This window comes from Homo sapiens, chromosome 11 (assembly GCF_000001405.40).
Source record: "Homo sapiens chromosome 11, GRCh38.p14 Primary Assembly".
NCBI classification, from domain to species: domain Eukaryota; kingdom Metazoa; phylum Chordata; class Mammalia; order Primates; family Hominidae; genus Homo; species Homo sapiens.
This window is the reverse complement of record NC_000011.10, coordinates 55,836,428-55,851,096: the sequence shown is the minus strand read 5'-3', so window position 1 is coordinate 55,851,096 and position 14,669 is coordinate 55,836,428. Positions and strand designations below refer to the sequence as shown.

At 34.2% G+C, this 14,669-nt stretch overlaps 1 protein-coding gene across 1 annotated transcript; it reads right to left on the bottom strand.

Annotated features, from left to right (window-relative positions):
- Positions 1 to 11,358: 11,358 nt before the first annotated feature.
- On the bottom strand, positions 11,359 to 12,345 carry OR5D16 (olfactory receptor family 5 subfamily D member 16). The gene has a single exon (NM_001005496.1). It carries the CDS (start codon positions 12,343 to 12,345, stop codon positions 11,359 to 11,361), a length of 987 nt encoding a protein of 328 aa, NP_001005496.1.
- Between the last annotated feature and the right edge of the window lie 2,324 nt (positions 12,346 to 14,669).

Here is a 14,669-nt window from a genome sequence, read left to right as displayed (position 1 = left end):
GGGATCCAAAGATTAAGAAGATTCAAAAAATGAGACAAACCAGGTGTTCTTCTATGGAATAGGCAGGTGGGAATGGAAGTTTCTGAAATAGCTCAGCAAAATGTCATACTGTTATGTAGGTAATCTATATTAATTTATGATATTTTTAACTTTTTATTTCTTAACTAATTCCCTTTTCCCACCTCAGGCCTGTTACTAGTGCACTGATGACTTGGTACCAATGCATTGCCATAATATATAATAAATAACATTATATAAAATTGAGTCAGCCTTAATCTGTATTTAAATTTTAAAAATAAATAATATGTAACGAAAACTGTGCTTACATTCGATTCCTAATCAAAGTCCAATAATGTTGATGGTTGTATTATGAATATTGTGTGCTAAATGTGCTTTTGGTTGTTGCTCTCATTTTTGTTGAAAACACCTTGAAGATTTAAAACCTGTGTTATTCTAGACATATTTACTCTCAAAACATCAGTTTCCTATGTGTAAAATAAGAAACTATAAGGAGGTAAACACAAAATCTCTTCTGCTCTAATATCCCTAGGATTATGTTAGAAATACTTACCAGGTAACTAACTTTTTATTCCCCGTTCACCTTCTGACTTCACTGTTTTTGAGCTCCAGTTCATTTTCCACTAGAAAAATTAAATTTGACACTGAAATATTACAAAAAAATGATCCATTGTAACATTTGGTATAATCCATTTGGGGCAAACATTCTGTGTTCATAGAAGACATTTGTGCCTTTCTTAAAAAGACTGTGGTTCCTTAGGAGAAACAAGGCTTTTTATATTTTGCTCTGAGGCTTTCGAGATCAGCTTTTGATCTCACATCAGATCCCAAGAACTCAAACTCTGATATTCAAATCTCTAATGGGAAAAGATATGTGAGCAATTAAACATTTCTACTGGGGAATTGATTAAACACAAAATGAAATGATGTAAGATGTTTTTCTACATCACGAGAATGCTGCAAAGAGACATACTTTGGCTTTTGAAATGGTAGGTTACTATATGAAAAATTTGATTATATTTATTATCTAATTTGATTTAGCCAGCTCAAAGCAACTTATCAAACAACTGCTATAATATTCTATGCAAATCAATGGTACAATAAATTGAAAAGAAGCAAAAATGTATCTAGTGATTGAGAAAAACAATTATAAATGAGTTTAATAACTCCGATATGTACTATGATAGAGTTGCATCTGCATTCAAATGAAATGCTGGCCACACAAGGTCAGAAAACATCAAAAGGCCTTCATCGAACAAATAAATTCACTCTATGAGTATTTTCTTCCAGGGATTGTTCTAGGTACCAGGTACAAAACAGAGAAAAGGAGAATAACTTGAACTGGGCATTAAGAATTACATCAAGTGAAAAATAGTGGATGAGAAATAGAAGGGAAAACAACACAAACACTTAAGTGGAAATTGGAAAGTCCATGGCGTGATTGGAGAATTGAAAATGAGATTGAGAATGTGTTTTCTAGTGGAGAAAGATAAGTATAGCTGAAAGACATATAAAACAAGTTAATTTAAAACTATGTGTGTGTGTATATATATATATATGTGTTAATTTAAAATTGTGTATGTATATATCTATAGCTATATTGTTATATACACACACCTATATATGTGTATATATATATGTACCCATCTATACATACATACACACATATATGGCTAAATTATCTTGAAATTCACTACAAGGAACTAGAACATTATGCAATTAATGAAGAGAATATTTATAAAAAAAGAATATTTATAAGAAGGTGCATTTTTCATCTTTGGTTGCATGTGGCAGATTAAATTTTTTAAGTGGCTTAAGCAAAAGTGGGAATTTATTGTTTACATGACAAAAATCTGGACATAGATTAGTTGAGAGAGGATCCAAGTGTTCAAAAAATTTCCCATTCTCCAGCTCTCTGCTATCCTTTTCTTTTTGATGACTAAACTCTCAAGCAGATTCTCTTTTTTTAGTAAAGAGAGCTATGAGATGTTTTGTGCAGTTTCTACCTGCCCAGAGGATTAGCCTCAGTAGAAAGAAGCTCTTCTTTTCCAATAATTCTAACAAAATCCCACAGCTGAGGCACTGGCTCACTAGTACCTATCCAGAAACAAATCAGCAGGTCTCTTGATGACTGGCCATGAATGCTTCCCAAAATACACTGGATGCAAAGACAGAGACCCATCAAGAACAGGAGAGGTTGGATCCCTACAGAAAAATTAAGGTGCTATTAGTGACTGATAGCTTTTCTTTTAAAGTCTATTTTGTTTTGTATTAATATAGCCTCTCCAGAGCTCTTTCAATTATTACTGCATAAAATTTTGTGAGCCTTTTATATTTAACTTATTAGGATTTTATAATAGAAAACATATTTTTTGATATCACAGAGTTTTGTTTGCTTTTCTGTTCAATCTGGCAAACTTTATCTTGTGATTTTTGTGTCTAGAGTACTTTTGGTTAATGTACATATGGGTAGAATTAATGTTACTACTGATTCTGCGGAATTAAGTTTACCATCTTGATACTTCATCTTTACTTGCTTCAAGTATTTCTTGTTTCTTCCATTCACTTTTTATTTTTTTGAGTTGGATTATTTTTTTATGATTCCATTTATTTTGTATGCTCTATTGACTTCTTATTTTAAGTCTTTTAAAATTGTGATACTTTTACAGCAATTTACAATATATTTACTAATAAATTATTGATCTTCTACATACCCTAAAAGAATAAACATCTAAGTCCTCCTTATTCATGATGCTATTGTTGTAGACTTTACTTTTACAGAGTCTATAAATGCTGTTTAATTGGTGTCTTTTCTTAAGACTGATATATTTCAGAGCAATTTAAAATCACTTTTGAATTTAGATCATTGACATAATTTCCCATGCTCTGTATTTATTTGCATAGCTTTGAGTTTCTATCTGATATCATTTTGCTTCTCCTTGGATATGTTATTTTAACATTCCTGGTGGCACATAGCTGCTGTCAATGAATTATGTCAGTTTTTGTTAGACTAATTTTTTTAATTAATTTTAGAAAGAGATTTCCACTGTGTATATGATCCTGGGTTGACAGTTTTGCTGTTTTCCCATCAACATTTTCAGTTTCTCATCCTTTTTTTCTATAATAACTTTTGTAGTTACTGCCAGGAAATCTGTTGTAATGCTTACAACATTGGAATGTAATGCTTACAACATTACAACAGATTTATTCCTTTAAATCTGTTGTTCTAAAGTGGAAGTCAATTTGTGTCTCCACCACCAAAAAGATTCATTTGGCAAAGGTAGAGATATTTTGATGTCACAGCTGGAAAGAGATACTCCTGACATCTAGTGCATAGAGGTCAGGATGCAGGTAGCTATCCTACTGCTCTCAGGATAGTGCCCAACATCAACGACTTTCCAGTAAAAAAATGTTAATAATGCTGATGTTGCAAAGCCCCACTTGATGTGTAATGGCCCTTCCTTTCAATATTTTCTCTTTTCCTGTTTTCTTCTCCCTGAGTGTGATGTGTGTGTGTGTGTGTGTGTGTGTGTGAATTTGGCTTAGTTCTAAGATCTTGAATCTATGGCTTGGTGTCTTTTGTTAACTTGAGAAAATTATTAGTCGTTATATTTACACATACTCTCTTTGCCTTACCTTTATCTTAAAAAAAAAACCTCAGAGTTTCTAATTACAGTTGTTTTTATTATTTGATATTGTTACACAGATTTTAGATGTGTTTTTTTCTCTGTGTCTAGTTTCAGGCATTTTATACTGATTGATCTTTAATTTCACTAATGTATTACTCAGCTATGTTGAGACTACTCTTGTGCCCCTTAAATAATTCTTTATAACTATTACTTTCTTACTGTAATTTCTAGTTGTTTTACTGATTCAGTTTTATATTTTCCACGACTTTGCTGAAATTCACTATTTATGCATGTTGTCTGTCTTTTCCAATAGAGCCCCTAGCAATCATAGTTATTGTATATTGCCTGTATAATATTTCTACCGTCTAGGCTATATCTGAATCTGGTTCTGTTTATTTGTTTTCTTACAGTGAGTTGTTCTCCCCTACATATATGTTCTCCCACATATTTTTTGTTAAGGATTGATATTATTTGTAGAACAATAGATGCTGAGTAAACAACATTAAATGTGTAGAGTTAAGCTGGGCTTAGGTTCTGTTGATACTATGGTTATATTAATGCACCACACACTACAAATTCCTCTAATGTAACCTTATATTTCAGTAAGAGGCTGATTTGTCAGAGATTCTGGATGTCTAATTTATCTAAGTTTTAAGTCTTCCTCTTGCTCATGTAACTCAGAAAGGTTCTTCCCCAAACCCTAGCAAATAAATTTCTCAGAAACTGAGTAAGTGAATCTCTATTGACTGAATATCAATTCCACTTGGATATAAGGAGATTACCAAGTTTGCTTTCACCAACAAATAAAAGTGACATAATTATATGTAGTCAATTATTTAAATAATTGATGATAAGGATTCATGAGAATTTTGACATATGTGAGTGATATTTAAAAAACATCAAATGGGCTGGGTGCGGTGGCTCACACCTGTAATCTCATCACTTTGGGAGGCCAAGGAGGGCAGATCAGCAGGTCAGGTGTTTGAGACCAGTCTGGCCAACATAGTGAAACCCTGTTTCTACTAAAAATACACAAAATTAGCCGGGTGTGGTGGTGTGCACCTGTAATCCCAGCTACTCGGGAGGCTGAGGCAGGAGAATTGCATGAACTTGGGAGGCGGAGGTTGCAGTGAGCCGAGATCATGCCATTGCACTCCAGCCTGGGTGACAGTGCAAGTCTCCATCTCAAGAAAAAGAAACAAAGACAACAACAACAACACAATTCCTTTCTGATCTTCATTTTAATGTGACTAAATATCATAATCTCAATGGACAAGAAAAACATTTTTTAAAAAATTCAATCTCTCTTCATAGTGAAAACCCTCAATACGCTAGGCATCAAAGGAGCATACCTCAAAATAATAAGAGTCATCTGTGAAAAATTCACAGCCAACATCATACTGGATGGGCAAAACCTAGAAGCATTACCCTTGAGAACTCGAATTAGAAAAGGATGTTCACCCTCACCATTCCTATACAGCATAGTAGTGGAAGTCCAAGCCATAGCAGTCAGGTAGGAGAAATAAATAAAAGACATTTATATAGGAAATGAAAAAGTCAAATTATCTCTCCTGGTTAACAATAGGATTCTATACCTAGAAAGCCCTAAAGACTCTGTCAAAGGCTTTTTGATAAAACTTGATAAACTACTTCAGTAAAGTTTCAGGATACAAAATCAATGTAGAAAAATTAGTAGTGGTTACATGCACCAGCAACATTCAAGCTGAGAGCCAAATCAAGAATGCAATACTAGGCAACGAAGTACCTAGGAATACGTCTGACAAAGGAGTTGAAAATCTCTACAGGGAGAACTACAAAACACTGCTGAAAGAGATTAGAAATGACACAACAAATGGGAAAACATTCTATGCTTATCGATTGGAAGAATCAATAACGTCAAAATGGCCACACTGCCCAAAGCAATTTACAGATTCAACACAATTCCTATTAAACTACTAACATCATTTTTCTTCTACAAAATTAGAAAAAAAAACTGTTCTAAAACTCATAAGCAAAACTAAAAATCCAGAGTCATAACATTACCCCAAATTCAAACTATGCCAAAAGGCTATAGTAACCAAAGCAATATGGTACTGCTGCAAAAACAGACACGCAGAATAAAAGAACAGAAGAGAGAACCCAGAAGTAAAGCCACACACCTACAGCCATCTGATCTTTGACAAAGTCAACACAAAAAACATTGGTATAAGAACTCCCAGTTCATTAAATAATGCTGAAATAACTGGCTAGCCATATGCAGTAGAATGAAACTGGACCACTAACTGTCACCATTTACAAAAATTAACTCAATATATATTAAGGACTTAAATTTAAGACCTTAAACTATAAAAATCCTAGAAGAAAACCTAGGAAATATACTTCTAGACATCAGCCTTTGCAAATAATTTATGGCTAAATCACCAAAAGCAATTAGAACAATAGCAAAAAAATGACAAGTAAGACTAATTAAACTAAAGAACTTCTGCACAACAAGAGAAACTATCAATAGAGTAAACACACAATCTACAGAATGGGAGAAAATATTCACAAACTGTGCATCTGACAAAAGTCAAATATCCAGAATTCATAAGGAACTTAAATCAACATTCAAAAGACAACCAAATTAAAAGGTGGACAAAAGACTTAAACAGACACTTCTCAAAATAATACATACAAGCAGCCAATGATCATATGAGAAAATGCTGATAATGACTAATCATCAGAGAAATGAAATAAAAACCACAGTGAGCTATGATCTCATACCAGTCAGAATAACAGATATTGGCAGAGCTATAGAAAAAAAGGAAAGCTTAGACACTGCTGGTGGGAATGTAAACTGGTTCAGCCCCTATGGACAGCAGTTTAGAGATTTCTAAAAGAACTGAGAGTTGAACTACTATTCATTCCAGCAGTGCTGTTACTGGGTATATACCCAAAGGAAATAGATTATCTACCAAAAAGACACATGCACCCATACGTTCATCGCAGCACTATTCCCAATCGCAAAGACATGGAACCAACCTAAATGCCCATCAGTGGTAGATTGGATAAAGAAAACCCGGTACATAAAAACCATGGAACACTATGCAGCCATAGGGTTGAAAAATTACCTATTGAGTGCTATGCTCACTACCTGAGTGACAGTTTCAATCATACTTCAAACCACAGCATCAACCAATATATCTTTGTAACAAATCTGCACCCATACTCCCTGAATCTAAAATAAAACTTGAAAAAATAAAGAATGCTGAAACCTGTGCTCTTCTACCAATAAACATATTTATTCATGGATAATTTTAGTAATTGAAATAAAAATAAAAATTCATCCCAATTAATATAGTTAAGAGATGCATTTCCATAGATAATTTTACAGTTTCTCTTTGAGTATTTTATAAATATTTCTAACACATTTAAGTTGTTTAGTAGAACTATGGTAATATTTGTTGTAGTGATTATTTGTTGTAGATAAAAATCACATAAAACTTTATTACCACAAGAAATAAAAGGTTAATTTACATATATTTATTAATTACAAAGTAATAAACTCATGTGAATCATAAGAGACACAATTCTGGAGAGTAAATAGAACTTAAATGTGAGTTCCAGGACAAAAGAAATGACAAGAAATTTGATAATCTATGTATTTTAAATTAATCATGTTAGAAATGGGGTAACTATGGCATGCAATGGAAATTATACTTTTTCTTTTTCAATTTAAATTTATAATAGGCCAATGGAACAGAACAGAGCCCTCAGAAATAATGCTGCGTATCTACAACTATCAGATCTTTGACAAACCTGACAAAAACAAGAAATGGGGAAAGGATTCCCTATTTAATAAATGGTGCTGGGAAAACTGGCTAGCTACATGTAGAAAGCTGAAACTGGAACCCTTCCTTACACCTTATACAAAAATTAATTCAAGATGGATTAAAGGCTTACATGTTAGACCTAAAAGCATAAAAACCCTAGAAGAAAACCTAGGCAATACCATTCAGGACATAGGCATGGGCAAGGACTTCATGTCTAAAACACCAAAAGCAATGGCAACAAAAGCCAAAATTGACAAATGGGATCTAATTAAACTCAAGAGCTTCTGCACAGCAAAAGAAACCACCATCAGAGTGAACAGGCAACCTACAGAATGGGAGAAAATTTTTGCAGCCTACTCATCTGACAAAGGGCTAATATCCAGAATCTACAATGAACTCAAACAAATTGACAAGAAAAAAACAAACAACCCCATCAAAAAGTGGGCAATGGATATGAACAGACACTTCTCAAAAGAAGACATTTATGGAGCCAAAAAAACACATGAAGAAATGCTCATCATCACTGGCCATCTAAGAAATTCAAATCAAAACCACAATGAGACACCATCTCACACCAGTTAGAATGGCGATCATTAAAAAGTCAGGAAACAAAAGGTGGTGGAGAAGATGTGGAGAAATAGGAACACTTTTACACTGTTGGTGGGACTGTAAACTAGTTCAACCATTGTGTAAGTTGGTGTGGTGATTCCTCAGGGATCTAGAACTAGAAATACCATTTGACCCAGCCATCCCATTACTGGGTATATACCCAAAGGATTATAAATCATGCTGCTATAAAGACACATGAAAACATATGTTTATTGTAGCACTATTCACAATAGCAAAGACTTGGAACCAACCCAAATGTCCAACAATGATAGACTGGATTAAGAAAATGTGGCACATATACACCATGGAATACTATGCAGCCATAAAAAATGATCAGTTCAAGTCCTTTGTAGGGACATGGTTGAAGCTGGAAACCATCATTCTCAGCAAACTATCACAAGGACAAAAAACCAAACACCACATGGTCTCACTCATAGGTGGGAATTGAACAATGAGAACACATGGACACAGGATGGGTAACATCACACACTGGGGCCTGTTGTGGGGTGGGGGTGGGGGAGGGATAACATTAGGAGATATACCTAATGCTAAATGACGAGTTAATAGGTGCAGCACACCAACATGGCACATGTATATATGTAACAAACCTGCACGTTGTGCACATGTACCCTAAAACTTAAAGTATAATAATAAAAAAAGAAGAGCCAGAGATCAAATAAATAAATAAATAAATTTATAATGAATTATTTTTGAAGTATACTAAGTTTTCAATCATTATGTAGTTTTTCAAAATTAAATCTTTTAAGTGACACATGAATAAAAGAATTGAAGTATGGTAAAGTAAATTATGTTCTACATAGCAGGAATAGGAGCTACCAAAGATACTTTGAAATTTAAATTTGTAGGAAGAAGAATATGAGATCAGTATTTATGAAAAGTGTTCATGCTTCTATGGTTTAATCTCCAAATTATTGTCTTATGTCTCCGACTAATTTAATCATTGATCTGAGTACTTAAACAATATATATAATTTCTTCAGAATAAAAATTTAGAAGATTGTGTCTCTTACTTTATAAAAATGTAATTATCCTTTGCTAAGTAAAGGAAGAAACACAAGAATTTACTCTTTTGAAATGGAGTATTCCTCACTGATTTCGATCAAGATTAATACAGCTTTTCTGCTACTTTTCCACCATTGTTCCAGGTGTTAAAGATCAAGAAAGTGACAATGTATAATGGAAGACAGTTCACTTGTGAATATATAAAACAGTGTTGACTAACGTTACGTATTCACATATAAACTGTGATAAAAGTGATTTCAGTTCATCATGATAAGTTTATAATCATGTAACTATTGCAAATTATTTCATTGAACCAATACAACATGTTGCCTGGTTTTCATTTTACCTTTCCCCAAATAGCCATAATTTATTATCTCAATGTTTTTCAGGCTTAATTTGGAATTTCATTCAGATACATAGCATATAGAACAAAGGAAGACTGAATTATAAGTAATTCGAGTAAAAATTATTAAAGAAAAGATAAAAAAGATAAAGATTGCATTATAAAATTTCTAAATTAGATATTGTGTGTGTGAGGACCTCTTAAAATAAATATTACAATTATCAGGGGGCTATTGAGCCTCATTAATATACACAATTGTCTTGATCTTTCTTTCTTTGTTTAGATTGTAATTAAAAATGACAGTTAATTTAAAACAACATTCAAGTCCAAGTGGGCAATAAGCTCTCAATACTTATAACAGCTCCACCCAATTGTTTTAAGAAGGCTGCCTAAAGAGCCCTGATGAAGAGAATTGCAACATGCCCTTGTTCAAGCTGCTCTATAAATACTGATGGTAACTGGTAGGTGATGGAAAAGAAGCATAATCATTGAAAGTGAATATATCATCTCTGTGTTCATTCTCAATAATTCAAGAAGCAAATTAATATTTCTAAACCTCGCATAAATCCTTTCATTCTTGGCAGGGCACAGTGGCTCATGTCTGTAATCCCAGCATTTTGGGAGCCAGCCCAGGAATTTGACGCAGCCCAGGAGTTTGAGTCCAAGAGTTTGCAGATTGCTTGAGTCCAGGAGTTTAAGGCTGCAGTGAGCCAAGATCGTGCCACTGCTCTCCAGCCTGGACAACAGAGAGAGACCCTGTCTAAAAATAAATAAATAAAAATAAAATAAAATAAAAATTATTTCATTCTCTACATTGGAATTCTGTTTTGAAATAGATTAGAATAGTAGTAACATTATATTCAAATGTACATTTCTTCGCGTACCTAACAATATACCTTGGATGTATATGACATAAAATTGTAGCTCAAAAACATTTATTGAAATATTAACTTAATAATATATAATCACCTCCTTAACATTATCCATGCTCTTTACTCCTGATTAAAACTTCTGTCTTGCTCTTTTGTTTCTCTCAAAAACCTATTCATCCTTCAAGGCCAAATTAAAATAGCATGCAATTCTGAAACAATCTTTCCTGCATCTCCAAATGGATTTGAAGTAACTCTCTCCACCAATCCTTTTAGGATATTTACCAACATTACTGGATTTTGAAGTCCTAGAAAATGGGTCTATCTTTTTCTGAATACCATTTTTTTCACTAAATTTATAGTACCAAATTGCTTGTTCAATTAACACACCTATCAGTCACCAGGAAAGAAAGGATAACATAATTAACCTTTATTACACATATGTAATATGCCAGCTATATTGTTTACATTTTCATTTGCTTTCCACAATGTCTTATGAACTAAATCATATTACATGGCCAGCCACAGTGGTGCACGCCTGTAATCATGCACTTTGGGAAGATGAGGCGGGCGGATCACCTGAGGTCAGGAGTTCGAGACCAGCCTGGCCAACATGATAAAACCCCGTCTCTACTAAAAAGTAAAAAAAATTAGCCAGCCGTGGTGGTGGGCACCTGTAATCTCAGCTACTGAGGGGCCTGAGGCAGGCAGAACTGCTTGAACTCAGAAGGTGGAAGTTGCAGTGAGCTGAGATCGCACCACTGAACTCCAACCTGGGCAACAGAGTGAGACCCCATCTCAAAATAAATAAATAAATAAAACTATATTATTTTGTAGACAAAGACAATTATTTTGTAGACAAAATATTTTATAGACAATTATTATTTTGTAGTCAACGTCAATTAGTTTTGTCTGGCTTATATAAGCTGAGCCAAGAATAGCTTCCCTGATCTAAAACTCATAGCCATTCTATTGCAAAAAAGGTTTTTTTAAATCTAAAGTGATTTTTTTTAGTGAACTCTTGATGCACAGTCCATTTGAAAAAACAGGAAAAATTTATTGTTCAATAACAAAATTAAATGGATACCAATGCCTATGTTTAATATGAAAATATTTTGTATTGATTATTTTTCGGATTGCATCCTTAACATCTTTATTTCTCAGACTGTAGATCAGGGGATTCAACAAGGGGATCACCACGGTGTAAAACACAGAGGCCACTTTGACTGTGTGCCTGGAGTTTTTGGAGTTGGGTACACAGTAGAGGAAGAGGATGGTGCCATGGAAGATGGTGATGGCAGTCAGGTGGGAGGCACAGGTGGAGAAGACTTTGCGGTGCCCACTGGCTGAAGGCATCTTCAAGGTGGTGACAATGATGAATGCATAAGATGTCAGAATGATGAGTAGTGTGCTTATCTCATTAAAAGTGGCAACAGTGAAAAGAAGCAACTGGCTGAGATAAGAGTCAGGGTAAGAGAGTGATATCAGGGAGGATAACTCACAGAAGAAATGATTGATTGTGTTGAAACCATGAAAAGATAACTTTAAAGCAGAGCACGCGAGTGTCAGGGAACATGCGACTCCCCATGCATACAATACAACCACCAGCATGGCACAGAGTTTCTGGGAGATGGCAACTGTGTAGAGCAGAGGATTGCAAATGGCCACAAAGTGGTCATAGGCCATCACCGCAAATAGAATTAATTCAGTCACTACAAAGGTGCAAAAGAAAAAGAATTGCACCAAACATCCTGAGAATGAAATGGTTCTATCTTCTACAACCAGGTTCACCAGCATCATGGGAGCAATGATGGAGGAATAGCAGAAATCCACAAAGGAGAGGTGGTTGAGGAAAAAATACATGGGGGTATGCAATTTTGGGTTAATTTTGATGATCACTATCATCCCAAGATTCCCTACCACACTGAAGCCGTAGACTGCCAGAAATACAAAGAAGAGGGGAATTTGCAGTTCCAGGTAATCTGAGAAGCCCAAGAGAGTGAATGTGGCCTCAGATGTCGTATTTCTCTCTGTCAGAAACATGTTTTCCTTTCGTGTGATCCGAAAATCAGTCTTAGAAATTAAATATTGAAAGTGATTGACAAAGCAGCTTAACCATCCCCTCTGTAGAATATAAGGTGAGACAAAATAGATCTCTGTTAATATCCTGATAGGTGCTGTGTCAAGACAGGAATAACTACAGTTTCAAAATAGAATTACCATTAAATGTTGCTTTCTCCAAATTAGAAAATTAATTCTGTTCATGTCCTTAAATAAAATTTTAAAAACATACAGTTGTCATTATGAAATCAAGCAATTCAGGTGATAACATATAATAAAACTCTCATGTAAAACATCTGAATCTCACTGAACCTCACCAGTTCTGCAAAGAAAAATCCAGTAAAGTAAAATAAGTATTTATATCAGTCCAACAATTTCTAACAAAAAATGAGTCTGAAATAATTTCTATAATTGCAACTATTTTCTATATAATAATAATAAGGGCATATATTGTGATATAGTGAATGTAGTCTTAGAGTTATCATTTCTATCTATGGTTAATTTTTAGTTCAGCCTTTTAATTGTTATTATTCTTTTGAACTAAATAGGCCAGACATCAAAATCAGTAATTATTTATGTTTTTCAGTAAAGACATCTATTGAATGGTTTTATTCTACAGATAAACAAACAGAAGCTTGAAGAAGGCATGACTTGACCAAGACAGGTACAAATTCGATGCAATGGACCCAGTTTCCTTGACTCTCAGTCATAGACTCATCTCTCTATGCCAGGCTTTACTCTACATTACAGATAGAAATTTCAACATTTTACTTTGTAAAGATTACATTTTCATATATCATTTTTCTAATTCTTTTGACCACATTTAAGACAATCTTTAGATTATAAAACTATAAAAATTAGCCCAGTGAAAGTGCTGATGGATGCAGAGGTGTTCTGAATATTTATCAAAATGAGACATAGAGAATGGAAGTTAGAAAAATGTCCCCATTCAGGAATAAATATCATAAAAACCTATAAACATTGACGAAGACATTTTCTTTTTCTAGGTCCCCTCTCCTTTCCCTTAACATCATCAGCTAGGACACTCGTTCTGTCCTTCTCTTACCTGTCAATAATATAGATGAGATTCTTAAGGTGTCACCCCACTCTAAAGACATTCATGAGAAAGGAGTTTTTAATACAGAGAGAATGGTGGGGTTTCTCAAATTTAGGCATAGGGGCGGGGTTATCATAAAAAATTAGAACCCCAGTCAAATCTGAATCTCAGGTAGACAAAAAAATTGTTTATGGCCTAAATATGGTGTGGAACATAATCATAGTAAAAACTATTTTTGCTCATCTGAATTTGAAATTTAATTCAGTGTCTTGCATTTCTGTCTGCTGAATCTTGCAACTCTATATCCAAAACAACCCAGCATCTTATAGCAAGAAATACACCCTGGTTTACCTGACACTTTCCTCATTTTAGTACTGTAAGCCACTCACACCCAAATCTCTCAATCATATTCCTTTATAATTAAGACTTATGTGAACTGTCATTTATGGTAAGGTCATCTCCAATTCTGTAAACCAACAAATAGGTTCTAAATGTTCCAGCACCAACAGGGTCCCATGCAACAGCGAGAACTCTCCATAGTGCTATATGTTCATTTATGCAAGAATTTAAAGCACCAGTAAAAAGACAGTACTTTCTAGCCATTTCTCACTATTATAAAATTCATTCTCATTGAAGGTTTCTAAACTTCAGCAGTACTGACACTGTGCTGGATTATTCTTTGTTTTGGGAAGCTACCCTGTGCATTATACCATGTGTGGCAGCATCTCTGTCTTCCATCCACTAGATGAAAGTCTCACTTCCCCACGCCCTCACCCAGATGTGAAAATCAAAAATGTTTCCAGACACTGCCAAATGTTCCCATCAGGAGAAGGGTAGGGAATGCATAATTCTCTATGCTGCCTTGCTTCCTTGATTCTGATAGATTGCAATGTATCTTCTACTGAATTCAATTTAAGACTGAGGTGCAATTTAAATATTATGGTTTCTTGTATCCCAAATTATACTATTACAAGGATTAAACAATTGTATTATCTTTGGGCAATGTGGTGTCCAAAATCTTCTTCCTTGTAATATCCTCCTTTTCTTTTTCTTTTTGCCTTCATGACCCCATGTTGTTTTTTCCATGCTCTAAAATATTTAGATTAAGTTGCCTTTACTATGTTTCTCCAGAAGGTTCATTTTATTCCTTTAAAAATTCAATTTTATGTAAATGCCTATCTCCCTTCCTCAGCTCTTCTAAAAATTTACAGAAGCAAAGAGTTATATATTCCTGAATACTCTCTGGGCT